The sequence below is a fragment of the Homo sapiens genome, chromosome 4 (genome assembly GCF_000001405.40).
Source record: "Homo sapiens chromosome 4, GRCh38.p14 Primary Assembly".
NCBI classification, from domain to species: Eukaryota; Metazoa; Chordata; class Mammalia; order Primates; family Hominidae; genus Homo; species Homo sapiens.
Window position 1 is genome coordinate 69,241,867 of NC_000004.12, and position 14,803 is coordinate 69,256,669.

Below are 14,803 nucleotides of genomic sequence, written 5' to 3' on the forward strand. Positions count from 1 at the left end.
AATAATTGTTTATTTAAAACTAATTTCTCCTATTTCAAACTGACTTTGTTCTGTAACATCCTGCCCTGAACTTTCTCTGTGGTCACTTCTCACTAGAATGACTTTTAAATATCCTATACTTTCGTCATGCTTCTATTGATTGTGAAATGCTTCCTTTGACAACAATAAATCCTAATGAAGCTTTCATCTCACCTCCTAAGTCAAATGTCTTACTAAAGCTTTTATTAATTATCAGATATTAAAGCAATTGTGCATTTTTCTCCTCTGAAATACTGAACACTTTGCACTTATTATATAAAATTAATAAAAATAGTTACCTATGTCTCCAAGTGTATTCCCAGTAATTCTTTGTATTGTCCTTGTGAGCAAAGGATGTGAAACATGAGTTCTTCTAAACAATCTGGCACCTTGGATTTAGTGTGGAATGAATGTAAGTGCGGTTGTGTGCATATGTTTCTGCACATGAATTATTAAATCTAAAGAATTTAAAAAAAATTTCTTTATCATCAATCCAGATAATAAAAGTATCTTTATGTGTTTTATTTCTAAGCTCTAGAAGGTTGGAACAAATTTTCCCTGATACATTGCAACATTGCATTTCTTTTTGATATCTTCAATAAATGTGAAGCTGGCAACCAACCAATGAAGTTTATTTACTCTTAAAATATTAATTTTTAACTTCTGTGCTTATATTGTCATTTCAATTTCATGCTTAGTAACTACAAAACTATTGCAGATCATTGTGTGAGGGAAATGTCATCATGAGGCCCAAGAAGTCAGCTTTGGTATTTCTGCTCCTGCAACTCTTCTGTGATGGCTGTGGATTCTGGGAGAAGGTCCTGGTGTGGCCCTGTGACATGAGCCATTGGCTTAATGTCAAGGTCATTCTAGAGGAGATCATAGTGAGGAGCCATGAGGTAACAGTATTGACTCACTCAAAGTCTTTGTTAATTGATTACAGGAAGCCTTCTGCACTGAAATTTGAGGTGGTCCATATGCCATAGGATAAAACAGAAGAAAATGAAATATTTGTTGACCTAGCTCTGAATGTCTTCCCAGGCTTACCAGCGTGGCAATCAGTCATAAAATTAAATGTTTTTTGTTGAAATGAGGAACTTCAAAAATGATGTGTGAGAGCATTATCTACAATCAGACACTTATGAAGAAGCTACAGGAAACCAACTACGATGTAGCACTCATAGACCCTGTGATTCCCCGTGGAGACCTGATGGCTGAGTTGCTTGCAGTCCCTTTTGTGCTCACACTTAGAACTTCTCTAAGAGGCAATATGGAACAAAGCTGTGGGAAACTTCCAGCTCCACTTTCCTATGTACCTGTGCCTATGACAGGACTAACAGACAGAATGACCTTTCAGGAAAGATTGAAAAATCCAATGCTTTCAGTTTTCTTCCACTTCTGGATTCAGGATTATGACCATCATTTTTGGGAAGAGTTTTAGAGTAAGGCATTAGGTAAGAGATTCTTGTTTTATTTTTAATTATCAAAATAAATATTTTTAAAAATTGCCATACATCGTCTATGACACATATATGCAGGTTAATGAGTTTTTATTATAGAAAATGTTGTAGCTGTTCTTCATAAAGAAAGTAGATTTGTTCTAAGTGTAAGGTAACCTACTTCCTTAATACCAGTAATAAACCTACAAATGATCATCATTAACAAGGAGATTATATTTTGTTTTTCCTCCAAATAGCCCAAATCTACATCTCATATTTTTGAGAATTATTTATTGTTACTTTGAATGTTATACCATTTCTATTGAAACAAGATGCTGATCGTTCTTTTCTCTCTCATCAAAAATTTCAAAAAAAAATCTTCAGAAAGTCCTCTTTGAATTATTTTTTCAAGAGTGGTTAAATGGAAACATTTTCTAGAATTCTCTAATTTCTTAGTTGATTACTTCACAAAAACTTGAAAAAATATTATAAAAAGTTAAATGACTTTCGGTCTTGTGGGGCATGGGATAGAATTTTTACTTTACTGATTTATATCCATTTTACTTATTTTTATTTCTTTGCTTTACTGACAAAAAGTTGTTTTGCTTTACAATTTTCATAAACAGTTGTGACCAGCGCTGGTCAATGAAAGACATGTTTTTGATCCAACTCTGTTTGAGAAATATGTAGAAACATGAACAAAGGAACAATCATAATAGACTCTAAAAATATTGTTTAATATATTCCACTGAATTCCAATACATAGACTGTTTCACAGAACTAATATTCAGAGGATCCCACTTCAAATGTCCTTAGCCTTAGACATGATTTGAATTTACATGTATTGATTTGCCCTAATTAATTTTGTTTTCAGTAAGCTCTGCCTAGCTTACCATTTTATTTCCATATGTTCTTATGTATAGGCATATTTCATTTTATTATACTTTGCTTTACTGTGCTTCACAGAAATTGTAATATACAAATTAAGTGTTTTTGAAAACCCTGAATGAAGCAAATCAATTTGGCATAATATTTCCAACAGCAAGTGTGTACTTTTTGACTCTGTATCACATATTGGCATTTATCATGCTTTTTCAAATTTTTCATTATTATATCTGTTATGGTGATCTGAGATCAGTGATCTTTGATGGTTCCATGTTTACTAGCTTTGGGGCACCTTGAGCTCTTCTGATATAAAACAGCAAACTTAATTATAAATGTTGTGTGTGTACTAACTGCATCCACCTTTATGAGGTTTCTGTCAGCCCCTACTGGGAGGTGTCTTCCAGTTAGGTTACACGGGGTTCAGGGACCCACTTGAAGAGCAGTCTGTCCATTCTCAAGAGTTCAAACCCTCTGTGGGGAGAACCACTGCTCTCTCCAGAGCTGTCACACAGGGATATTTAAGTCTCAGAAGTTTCTGCTGCCTTTTGTTCAGCTATGCCCTGCCCACAGAGGTGGAGTCTATAGAGGCAGTAGGCCTTGCTGAGCTGCAATGGGCTCCACCCAGTTCAAGCTTCCTGGCCACTTTGTTTACCTACTCAAGCCTCAGCAATGGTGAATGCCCCTCCCCTCGCCAGGCTGCCGCCTGGCAGGTCAATCTCAGACTGCTGCACTAGCAGTGAGCAAGGCTCCGTGGGCATGGGATGCCTGAGCCAGGCACCAGAGATAATTTCCTGGTCTGTTGGTTGCTAAGACCATGGGAGAATCCCGGTAGTTGGGCAACAGTGTCCCATTTTTCCAGGTACAGTCTGTCATGGGCTCTCAGCTAGGAAAGGAAAATCTCCCCAGCCCTTGCACTTCCCAGCTCAGGTGACGCCCCGCCATGCTTCGGCTGGTCTTCCTTGGGCTACTGCACCCACTGTCCAACTATTCCCGATGAGATGAACCACGTACCTCAGTTGGAAATGCAGAAATCAACCATCTTCTGTGTCAATCATGGTGGGAGCTGCAGACCGGAGCTGGTCGCATCTAGCCATCTTGGAACGGGAGCCCTCTAGGTGATATATTTTGAAATCAGGTAGTGTGATGCCTCCAGTTTTGTTCTTTTTGGTCAAGGTTGCTTTGGCCTTGGTCTTTTGCAGTTCTGTACAAATTTTAAAAAAAGCTTTTCCCCATTTCTGTTTAGAATGTCATGGTATTCTGATAGAGATTGTTAAGAATCTGCAGTTTCCTTTGGGTACTATGTACATTTTAATAATACAAATTCTTCCAATTCATGAACATGATGTATCTAATTATTGTGTCTTTTTAAATTTCTTTCATCCTTGTTTTATAATATTCATTCTAGATATTTTATACCTCCTTGGTTAAACATATTCTTAGGGGTTTTATTCTATAGCTATATTAAATGAAATTGTTTTTCTAATTTTTTGCAGATAGCTATTTCCGTACAGAATAATACCAATTTTTGTATGATAATTTTTTTTCAAAAAGTTTTCTGAATTTTTTTTATCAATCATTATGTTGTGTTTTCATGGAGTATTTAGTTTTCTCTCTTTATAAGTTCATGTCATCTGCAAAGAGGAACTATTTGATTTCTTCCTTTCCGATTTGTATGTGCTTCATTTCTTTCTCTTGGTTAATTACTCTGGCTAGACGTTTCAGTATTAGGTTGGATAAGAGTGGAGAAAGTATGCATCTTTATCTTTTTCCAGATCTTAGGAAAAAAAAGAAAGCTTTCTACTTTCCCTGCTCAGTATGATGGTAGTAGCTGTGTGTTTATCATGTATTGGCTTCATATATGAATAAGTTCTTTGATGAACTTCTTCATATATGAAGAAGTTCATTGAAGAGTACAGTATTCTTGGATTAAAAGTTTTACAAATTTCTGTTTACTTCAGCATTTTGACTATATTATCCCACTCTCTTCTGTCCTGAAAGATTTTTGTTTGTTTGTTTGTTTGTTTGTTTTTCCTGGGAAATTCACTGAAAACAGTTCGGGACCACTATTGAAAGTGTTATGTTTTGTTGTTGTTGTTTTGTTTTGTTTTTCTCTCTCTCCTACTGCTTTCAATATTCTTTTTGTTCTTTGAGTTTTGGTAATTTGATTATAATGTACCTTTGGGAATTACTTTTTGGGTTGAATTTGTTGGGTGATGTCTAAGCTAACTGTTCCCAGATATTATTGTCTTTCTCCAAATTTGGAAAATGTTGAGTCTTTATTATCTTGAGTATGTTTTCTAGGCCTTTCTTTTCTATCTCATATCCTTTAGAAATTTATATTATATGGCAGTATTTCCCTTCATAGTGTCATATAATTTCTGTGAACGCCACTATTTCTTTTTTCTTCTATTCCTCTGATTGGGTAATTGCATGTTTTCTTTGAGCTTACTGATTCTCTCCTGTTTGATCAAGTCTGCTGTTAAAGATTTCTAGTGAGTTTTTAGTTTAACAATTTTTATCTTGCATTTCAAGGATTTCATTTTTTATTTTTCTGATTTCATTCTCAAATGTTGTATTTGAATCGCTGCCCTGAGGATGCTTTCTGTTCTGAGGAGAGCTTATAGTTGATAACAGAACCTAAATAGTGCACCAGAGCTAAATCTCTTCCATGCTATTGTTTTCCTGTCTGAGGAAGACTTATCATGGTGATAAAAAGATAATGTTGTGCCAGAACTTAAACTCAAACCTGTAGTAATTTCTGGGTTGGGGAAGGCTTAAGAAATAACTGGAACTTAGTTACTAACCTGATAGTTGTTTCTGGGTCAGAGAAAGGCTCTGTATGATCACCTGGGATATTTGTAAAATCTGACCAAAGATTCTAGCTTTCCCTCGGATTGTGCCTCCTGTACTATTGTAGTGCTGGCTAGGCCCCCATCAGTGTGAGTTCCCTGCTGATAGGACCGCAAAGCATCTGCCAAGATCTGTTTGCCATTTGCCGTGATTAGTGCTTCTGCTCTTTGCTTCCAATTCAACCCAGGTGGTTCAGCCCTTCTGACGCTCCTAATACCTCCTGTGGGATGGAACAAAGAAGGCTTCTCACAGTGATTCACACACTCATATGGGGATTTAGTGTCCACCTGCAATTATTTTCTTCCACCTGTGTAATTGCAGGTACAGGGAAGTTTTCTGGGAGTGGTGCTATTTTGCTTTGGAGAATGGGGTGACGCAGCACAAATGACCTTTCTTCTTTCTGGTCATGGATTTTTTAATTTCCATGAACCTATAAGATTTTTCACTTTTCTCCTGAGCTCTGGTGCATTCAGAGTGGTATTTTTATATTTGAATAGTTGCTAGTTGTACTTTTAAGAGGGATTGATGCTGGACGTCTTCTATTCCACCATCTTGCTGATGTCACTCCTCAAATAATATTTGTAAATGTTAGTAAATTATTTTGTTTTTAGGATTCTGTGTCTACATGACACAGACATGAAAAGTACTCTTGTCACTGAAACTTTTCATATACTGTTTGATTGTGTGCCTTTTCTAGTAATGAATGATTATGTATTTAAGCCATATGTTTTACACATAGACTTTCTTATAAAGAGACTACATGGTTCTGTGTGTCAGAACATAAGAATAGAATACAACTATACAGTAATAATTTCTCAACTCTTTATTTTAGAAATGTAAGTAACCTTTACTTTAATCTTTGTTATATTACCCCTCTGTAATGCAGATAAATTTTTATCTTCCGGAAATGGAAAATGTTGTCCAGAGTTCAGGGGAAGATGATATTGGGTTGTTTTCTCTGGGGTCACTGTTTCCAAATGTTATAGAAGAAAAGGCTAATATCATTGCTTCAGCCCTTGCCCAGATCCCACAGAAGGTCAGTAAAACCTCCATTCCTGATAAGCAGCTATTCACATAATGAGAAAGTATGGCTTTTGCCCTACTCAGTCTTGCTGTTGTTACTGGAAACAACTCTCTTGATTGTCGTTCATTTATAATAAAATAGAAATAAAAAATCAAGCCCCTACATCATATTTTAGAATTTGAAATCTAAAGGCATGTGCCAACTATTCCAAAAAAGTTCTGACATGTATTATTTCCAAGGGCCAGAAAAAGGAAAACTGATATAAAAAAGAAAAAGAAGAATCAATCTCAAGAATATCCTTCTCATATTTGAGTGCATAAAAACTGTATTCAGGGTACTTTTGCATAGAAATAAAAGCTCAGATTAATGTAGTCTTTCTCGATAATTAGAGCTTTCTTCCAAAGTTAAATGTCAATTACAATTATATTATAGTAACTTAATTATTTCAGTTATGTAATTATTTATAATACTTAACTGATTTTAACTTTATTACTGTAATTCTAGAATTTCACACTTTAGGTAGTGCTATATATAAACTATCCAAAAGATGTTTTATTTCATATTTAGCTAAAATACATCAAACACAATAAAGGCAAATATACTAATTAGGAATGTGAAATCTCATAATTTTAATTAAGAAATTATCTGTTAAGTAGTTTGAAACATCTGTGCCATCCTTTCTTTTCAAATGTATGAATTTTTTTATAAGTTCCCACAAATCAAAATTATGGAAAAAAAAGACACAATCCCAAAGAAAATTTATCATAGAACAATGGAACATAGGTAATTCTCTAGCTCATTCGTCTTCAATAAAACAAATAAATATAAGAAGACAAAGGTCAGGAAGGAAATAGAGAAGAAAAGATAACCGATTATCCAAAACACACACAAAATTGAAAGCAAATTTTATCTGTGGGGAACTGTAAATTTGATGGTAGAACCAGAATAGTTCCATGATTTGAAATGACACAGAGATCATGTACTTATAAAATATTTTATTCTTATAAGAAAATTGAGTAGCCAGTGCTGAATTACTTTTTAATGATTCACTGATATTCTCATACTCAGATATTTTAATTGATATTAAAATAATAATAGTATACTTAATAGTCAACTGGTACACATTATTTGAAAGGACTTTTGTAAAAAGTCCTACTATGTCTTTTACTGTTTACACAGTACCTCTACATACCCCTGTCTCAACCAACACCTGAAGTACAATGAGTTTATAATTTATAACTATATCTACATCCTTAGAGTGCTAATATCCTGTGGTTCAATCTGTGAAATACATGTGTTTCTTCCATAGGTGTTATAGAGATACAATGGAAAAAAAACCATCCACATTAGGAACCAATACTCGGCTGTATGATGGGATACCCCAGAATGATCTTCTTGGTAGGACTATGAGAAAGTAAAAATATGAACTAGATGAGGAAAAGATGAATAAATGTTAAACAGTGAGCAAATTCAGCAAATATTTAAAATTATAAAACTTTATTTTACTTACACTTTTGAAGCAGATATAATTAAAAGATTGACTAAAATTGTATAGACTCACACTTTCTATTGTTAAGGTGAGAGTGATAGGATATGCAGAAGGAATTAATGCCTCTTTTTCTTAAGTTAGAAATGATCTTTAGTAGCAAAGCTCCATGTGCTCTCCTTTTAAAGAAAATACTGTACGCTTCAGGGAGTTATCTCATAATTCCCATCTTTAGTCCTGAAATTATTTTAAAAATTCATAATAAAGTATCTCACCATTTCTCATCCATTTTGCATACTAGGTGACCTCAAACCAAAGCTTTTATCGCTCATGGAGGAATGAATGTGATCTATGAAGCTATTTACCATGAGGTCCCTATGGTGGGAGTTCCCCTATTTGGTGATCAGCTTGATGCCATAGCTCACATGAAGGCCAAAGGAGCAGCTGTAGAAATAAACTTCAAAACTATGACAAGCAAAGATTTACTCAGGGTTTTGAGAACAGTCATTAACGATTCCTCGTAAGTACTACTGCTTGTAAAGACTGATCTAACATCGATTATATTATACATTATGTCGGAAAATGTTAAATATCATGCTGGTAGATATTTTAAGGGATTTTTCCCTTCGATATTAAGTCATTCATCACCTTGGTATTGGAATAGTTCTGGAAATTATAGTTCATAGAGTGTCAATCTTCATGGAAATATTAAGTTTAAATTAATAACTGGCTTATTCAGGTTTTACTCACATCTTTGCTTTACCCCATTTTGTTAAAAATGTACTCTTTTTCACTCTCCGCATTATATCTGTTTAATCCTATGCAACCAATAATGTTCATGTCACAACCGGAATCAATCTTTTATTCAACAAGTTTTGGCTTGCATAACATATACTACAGTTTATCTACCTGTCTTTTATGAAAACAAAACTACAACTTTCTAAGTTCTATGTGTGTTTTTGCCTTCCAGTTATAAAGAGGATGCTATGAGATTATCAAGAATTCACCATGATCAGCCTGTGAAGCCCCTGGATCAGGCAGACTTCTGGATCGAGTTTGTCATGTGCCACAAAGGAGCCAAGCACCTGTGGTCAGCTGCCCATGACCTCACCTGGTTCCAGCACTACTCTATAGATGTGATTGGGTTCCTGCTGGCCTGTGTGTCAACTGCTATATTCTTGGCCACAAGATGTTGTTTATTTTCCTGTCAAAAATTTAATAAAACTAGAAAGATAGAAAAGAGGGAATAGGTCTTTCCAAATTTAGAGAAGACATGATGGGGTAATCCTGTTAATTCCAGACACAAAGAATTTAGTGAAAACATGTTACTTTCCTATTTTCTTATTATCTATTCTGATATTTTATCTTAGCTAAGTAGCCTAGAATTCCACGATCATGAACTTGTGAGTATATCTCATTCTTTCATTGTATTTTCCTAGGTGTGCTTACTCTCTTCTCTCACTTTGTGACACAAGGACATGAATACATCTAAATTTTCCTATTTCTGATATCACTGTTTCCATGACGTCATTACTTCTCTAACCTTAAGTGATAGGGTGACCTGCAATATGCTGATTCCTGGTGTTTGCACAAACACATGGATGTAAAGAAGTAAAAAATGTAAAATTCACAAAATTCAGTAAACCACACAAATCAATGAAGCATTCTATGACATTAGCTTGTTATGAGTAACATAATGATTTTTCTTTTTCAATTTAAATAAGCCCTTCTACATACCCAGCATTACTGATCTCAGACAATGAATTGCTAAAAATGACGATAGGGCATTACACTCAGAATAGTTTGCTATATTTCCACATACCTCATCTAGATGTCATAGCCTACATTTCTGCCATCACTTAACTGACATTTTTTGTGTGTTCTTGATGATAAATAGACAGTTCTTATTATTGTCCTCAAATAATAAAAGAAACTGAAATTTTCTTACATGGAGAAAATGTCCATAAGATATTCAAGTTAAACAGATTATTTTGAGATAAGTAACCATTAGAAATATGTGATTGTAATTTCTGATTTTATAAAATTTTAATTGATAGTACACTTGATTTAAATGTCTATTCTTTAAAATGATGAATACTCATAATTCTTATCTCTATAATCAAAAGTATAATTTACTGTAGAAAAATAAAGAGATGCTTGTTCTGAAAGTAAGATCAGTATACTGCTTTCCGGTCTCAAAATTTGAGAATTGCAAATTCATCAAGTAATGGCTTACATGGTAAAAATTTAAGATATTAGAATACCTGCTTAACAAATATTAGTATATATTAAATATTTAGATAAGTAAAGCTCTACACTAAATATAGTTTAATAATCTTTACACTAATTAAGCAAATATGTTACACTTTTCATTTTGTTTACTGTCGTATAATCTTAGTGACATGCTTATTTAAATTTTAATTTAAGGACTTGATTTATTAAATGAATAAATTGGCTCAACTGGCTTTTTGAAAATTTTGAAATTGTTACACATGTTGACAAAGTATATCTATAAATTAATTCCAATTTTAAAATGACTATATAAAAAGAAATAAATATTTTATTGCGTGTGTATACAATTAAATGTAAATAAAATTATTTAGTAGATTTTTAAAATTTGTTAAGTTTTTACACTGATATGTTTTTGACTTTTACAATATTATCATAATCTAGGAAAAGCTGATTATATCTGTTTAAGCCTCATCTTTTCTCTGAAATTAAATACAGCAATTGATCAACATGCTGTGACAGGTGGGAAGCCATTTCTGGAGTTGAGCCTGCTGACACTCTGGGGCTTTTTAGGTTGGACATTCATTGTACATGGGACTCCCTTCCTCTCAAGAGCTATTGCTCATAAGACTCTCCTTCATCAATCTGGCATTACCTTTTCAGATCAGTTGTAATCAGAATACAACTGGTCTTGTAGTTGTAATATGTTCTATCTTAACCACCACTTTCGTACCAGGAACCTGCTCAGGTTTGTTCTCTAGAAGCTCCCAACATAGATAGTCTACATTTCAGACTACTAAGTTATTAACAAACCTTTGGACCATGTTCACTTTAGGTTGAGCATAGTGTGAGGAGATGTAAATTAAATTATAATCCTATATGTGTGTGTAATAAATATTAAAGTGTATAAATTAAACAGCAGATTCTAAGTATCCAACAAGAGTCAAATAAATGATACAAAGTCACCAAATAAATAATATTTAATCTCATCTAATTTCAGAAATTTTCTTGTAATATCATCTTTTGTTTTTTATATCAATTATTGCAAACAAAGAAAAATCTCCAATGAATTTTTAATAATTACCTAGAGCCTCTCTTCTAGACCTAACAACTAACAGCAAATTGCCATATTTTCATCACATTGTCTTTAAAATTTGCACATGGTGTGGTGGCAAAATTGATGTTTTAAAGGTGGCAGAGTAGGAATGCCCTGTCCCTGTTCCCCCATGCAGAATGAAACTTGACAACATTATATTGACCAAATTGCCATGGTGATAATCTCAGAAACCAGTGAAAAGGTTGCAGCACCCCAGAAAAGAGCAAAGCCAAGAAGAATTTTGTTTTAATATCTAAGAAATATTGTACCATACACTCTCTATAGATCCTTCCCTAGCCCGTACAGCATTATACAATCAGGAAAAAAATCTTTAGTCATCAGTTTTCCCACAGGAGTGAAAAAAGAGTGAAATGTGGTCTAATGTTCTGTCTCCTTAGAGGACTTCCCAAGGGTCTGATTTCTGTCACCGAACTTAAATCACTTATGGAAACCCCAGCATTTGAATGCCTGGGAACAAAGGCAGTGTGGCAGTTTTGGGCAGTACCGGAAGAGCTGCATTATTGCTACAGAATGACAAGAGGTGAAGCAAAATATTACAAAATCCTGAAAACAAACAAAAAACCCTATTTAACTTGGTAATTACATTCAAAAGCCCAGAGAAGATACAGCTCTTGGAATGGTTTGCAAAGCTCCCAGCATCTCTAGCTGGGGTGATTGATGAAGGTTTTCCACTACACTAAGCCAGTGCATAAAGACTGGGAGATGTGGATGTTTCTTTAAATCTCAAAGTGTAAACAAAGAAATGTGAAGCATGCAGACACTGGTAACCATGGCCTATTTGAAGTAACAAAATAAACCTTTTTTTCAATCCTGAATAAACAAAGATTTATTAATTACCTGTCAAAAAATTCAAAATATATTAAATACCTATCAAAAATTTCAAAAATAATTAAAGATGCTGGATTACCTAAAATAACCCAGACAAGTTTCTAAAAATCAGGAATACAAGGCATATATAAAATAAGAGTATCAACAAAGACATAAAAGCATAGAAAAAAACCAGAGCTAAGTCATACAATAACCAAAATTGAAAAATTTACTAGAAAAATTCAATAGATGACTTGACCTGCTAGAAAAAATAATTCATGAATTTGAAAATATTGACCATTTGAAACTTAAGGAAGAAGAGCAAAAAGAATGTGATAATAAAGTGAAATCCTGAGACATATGGGACATTGCTAACCTGACTAGTTATGCATTTGAGAGCCCTCATGGGAGAAGAGGAAAAGATTGAGACAAAAAGTCTATTTAAAGAAATAATGGCAGGCAGAAAATTTCCCAAATTTGAGGAAGAATATGGACATAGAATTGTTTTAAAACACAACTACTGTACACTGAGATCAATTCCAAAATTTTACACCAATAAATATTATAATCAAACTTTCAAAAGTCACAGACAAAGAATCTCAGAAGCCGTAAAAGAAAAATGAATTATGACATAAAAAGGAACTCACATATATTATCAACAAGATACCAGCAGATATCTTTTTAAACCAAAAGTAAGTGACATAATATATTCAAAGTGTTCAAAGAAAAACAAGAAAACAACCCGACCACATAAAACATCCATTTGGCAAGCCTGTCATTCAGAAATTATGGAAAATGGAATACTTACTCACGTTAAAAAAAAGGTAGAAGAAGATAATTATTACCATACCTGTCCTACAAGAAAAGCAAAAAGCAGTCATTCAAGTTGAAATGAGGGAGGCTAGGAAGCAAAATGAATGAATGTAAAAGTGTAAATCTATCTGGTAGAGATAAATAAGAAATTAAATATAAATTCCTGTAAGTTTTTAATGTTGATGCACAAGTTAATTTTAATTCTGATATGCAATTTAAAAGAGAAAAGCATAAAAGTAACATTACATTTATATTAATTGGGACACAACATAAAATATAAAATTAGTGATATTACTAACATAAAGTAGGAATGTGAGATCTAAAGGAATAGAGTTTTCATATATAATTAAAGTTTTTGTTGGGTTTAAAATGGACTGTTATAACTATAAAATATTTTATTCAATCCTCATGGTAACCACAAAATATACCCATAGAACAAGACTGTCCAATCTTTTGCCTTCCCTGGACCATATTGGGAAAAGAAGAATTGCCTTGGACCACACATAAAATACACTAACATTAGCCATAGCTGATTAGCCGGGAAAAAAATCGCAAGAGAAATCACAATGTTTGAAGAAAGTTTACAAGTTTGTGCTGGGCCATATTCAAAGCCATCCTGGGCTGCATGCAGCCCTGAGGCTGCAGGTTGGATAAGCTTGCTGTAAAAGATACACAAAAAGAAGTGAAAAAAGGAACCTGAACTTACGAATGTACCAAAAACAGTACTATGACGATAGTTTACAGTAGTAAATGCCTATGTTAAAAAAGAAGAAATATCTAAAACAATCTAACTTTACATATCAAACAACTGACCAAAATTATCAGAAAGAAAAAAGTAATAAAGATTACAGCAAAAATAAATACAATAGGAAGTAGCGAAAAATCAGCAAAACTGAGTTGTTCCTTTCTTTTTATGAAAAGATCAACAAAATTGAGAAACTGTTTTCTTGACTAAAGAAAAAAAGTGAATAGTTGTATAACAAAATCAGTCTGAGGTTGGTGGTTTAATCTTGTATTCCCAGCAGTTTGGAATGCTGAGGCAGGCAGATTGCTTGAGCCCAGCAGTGGAAGCCCAGTCTGGGCAACATGGTGAAACCCTGTCTCTGCTAAAACTACAAAAATTAGCCAGGTGCGGTGGCATGTACCTGTAGTTCCAGCTACTCAGGAGGCTGATGTGAAAGAATCGCTTGAACTCGGGAGGTGAGCGTTTCAGTGAGCCAAGATGGTGCTGCTGCTGCACTCCAGCCTTGGGTTAGAGCAGAGACGCAGTCAAAAAAAAAAAAAAAATTCAGAAATGAAAGAGAAGACATTACAATTGATGCCATAGAAATAAATAGGTTACAAGAGAGAAAATATTGGCAAACCACTTATCTGCTAAGTGTTTTATATTTAAAATATGTGACAATTATCTATAATTTAATAGCAAAAACTCAAAATAATTCAAAGACGTGAATACACATTTATTCAGAAAATATAGACGTATGGCCAAAAAGCATATGAAAAGATGCATAACATCACTGAATATTAGAGAAATGTAAATCAAAACTACAATGAGCTATCACATCATAACCATTAGCCACCTCAGAATATTTTTGAATACATATATTTACCCACACACAGACACACAGACACACACACAGCCCAAAAAACAACAAGTTTTGAAGAGAATGTATATAAATAGAAACTCTTGTGCATCGTTGGTAGGAATGAAAAATGACACACCTATAGTTAACAGAATGGAGGTTCCTCAAAAAAATTAAAATCAAATTACCATAGACCCCACAATTTTCTTCTATGGATTTTCTTCTATGTTTTTTATGGTTTTGGGTTTTACATTTAATTCTTTAATCAACCTTGAGTTAATTTCTGTATAAGGTGTGAGGAAGGGGTCCAGTTTCAGTTTTCTGCATATGGTTAGCCAGTTTTCTCATCACCATTTATTAAGTAGGGAATCCTTTCCTCATTACTTGTTTTTGTCAGGTTTGTTGAAGATCACATGGTGGTAGATGTGTGGTGTTATTTCTGAGGTGTCTGTTCTGTTCCATTGGTCTATATCTCTGCTTTCATACAAGTACCATGCTGTTTGGTTGCTGTAGCCTTGTATTACAGTTTAAAGTCAGGCAGCATGATGTCTC

The 14,803-nt window shown here is 33.9% G+C and overlaps 1 pseudogene; it reads left to right on the plus strand.

Annotated features, from left to right (window-relative positions):
- Positions 718-9,245, plus strand: LOC100533845 (UDP glucuronosyltransferase family 2 member A3 pseudogene; annotated as a pseudogene).
- Positions 9,246-14,803: the final 5,558 nt, after the last annotated feature.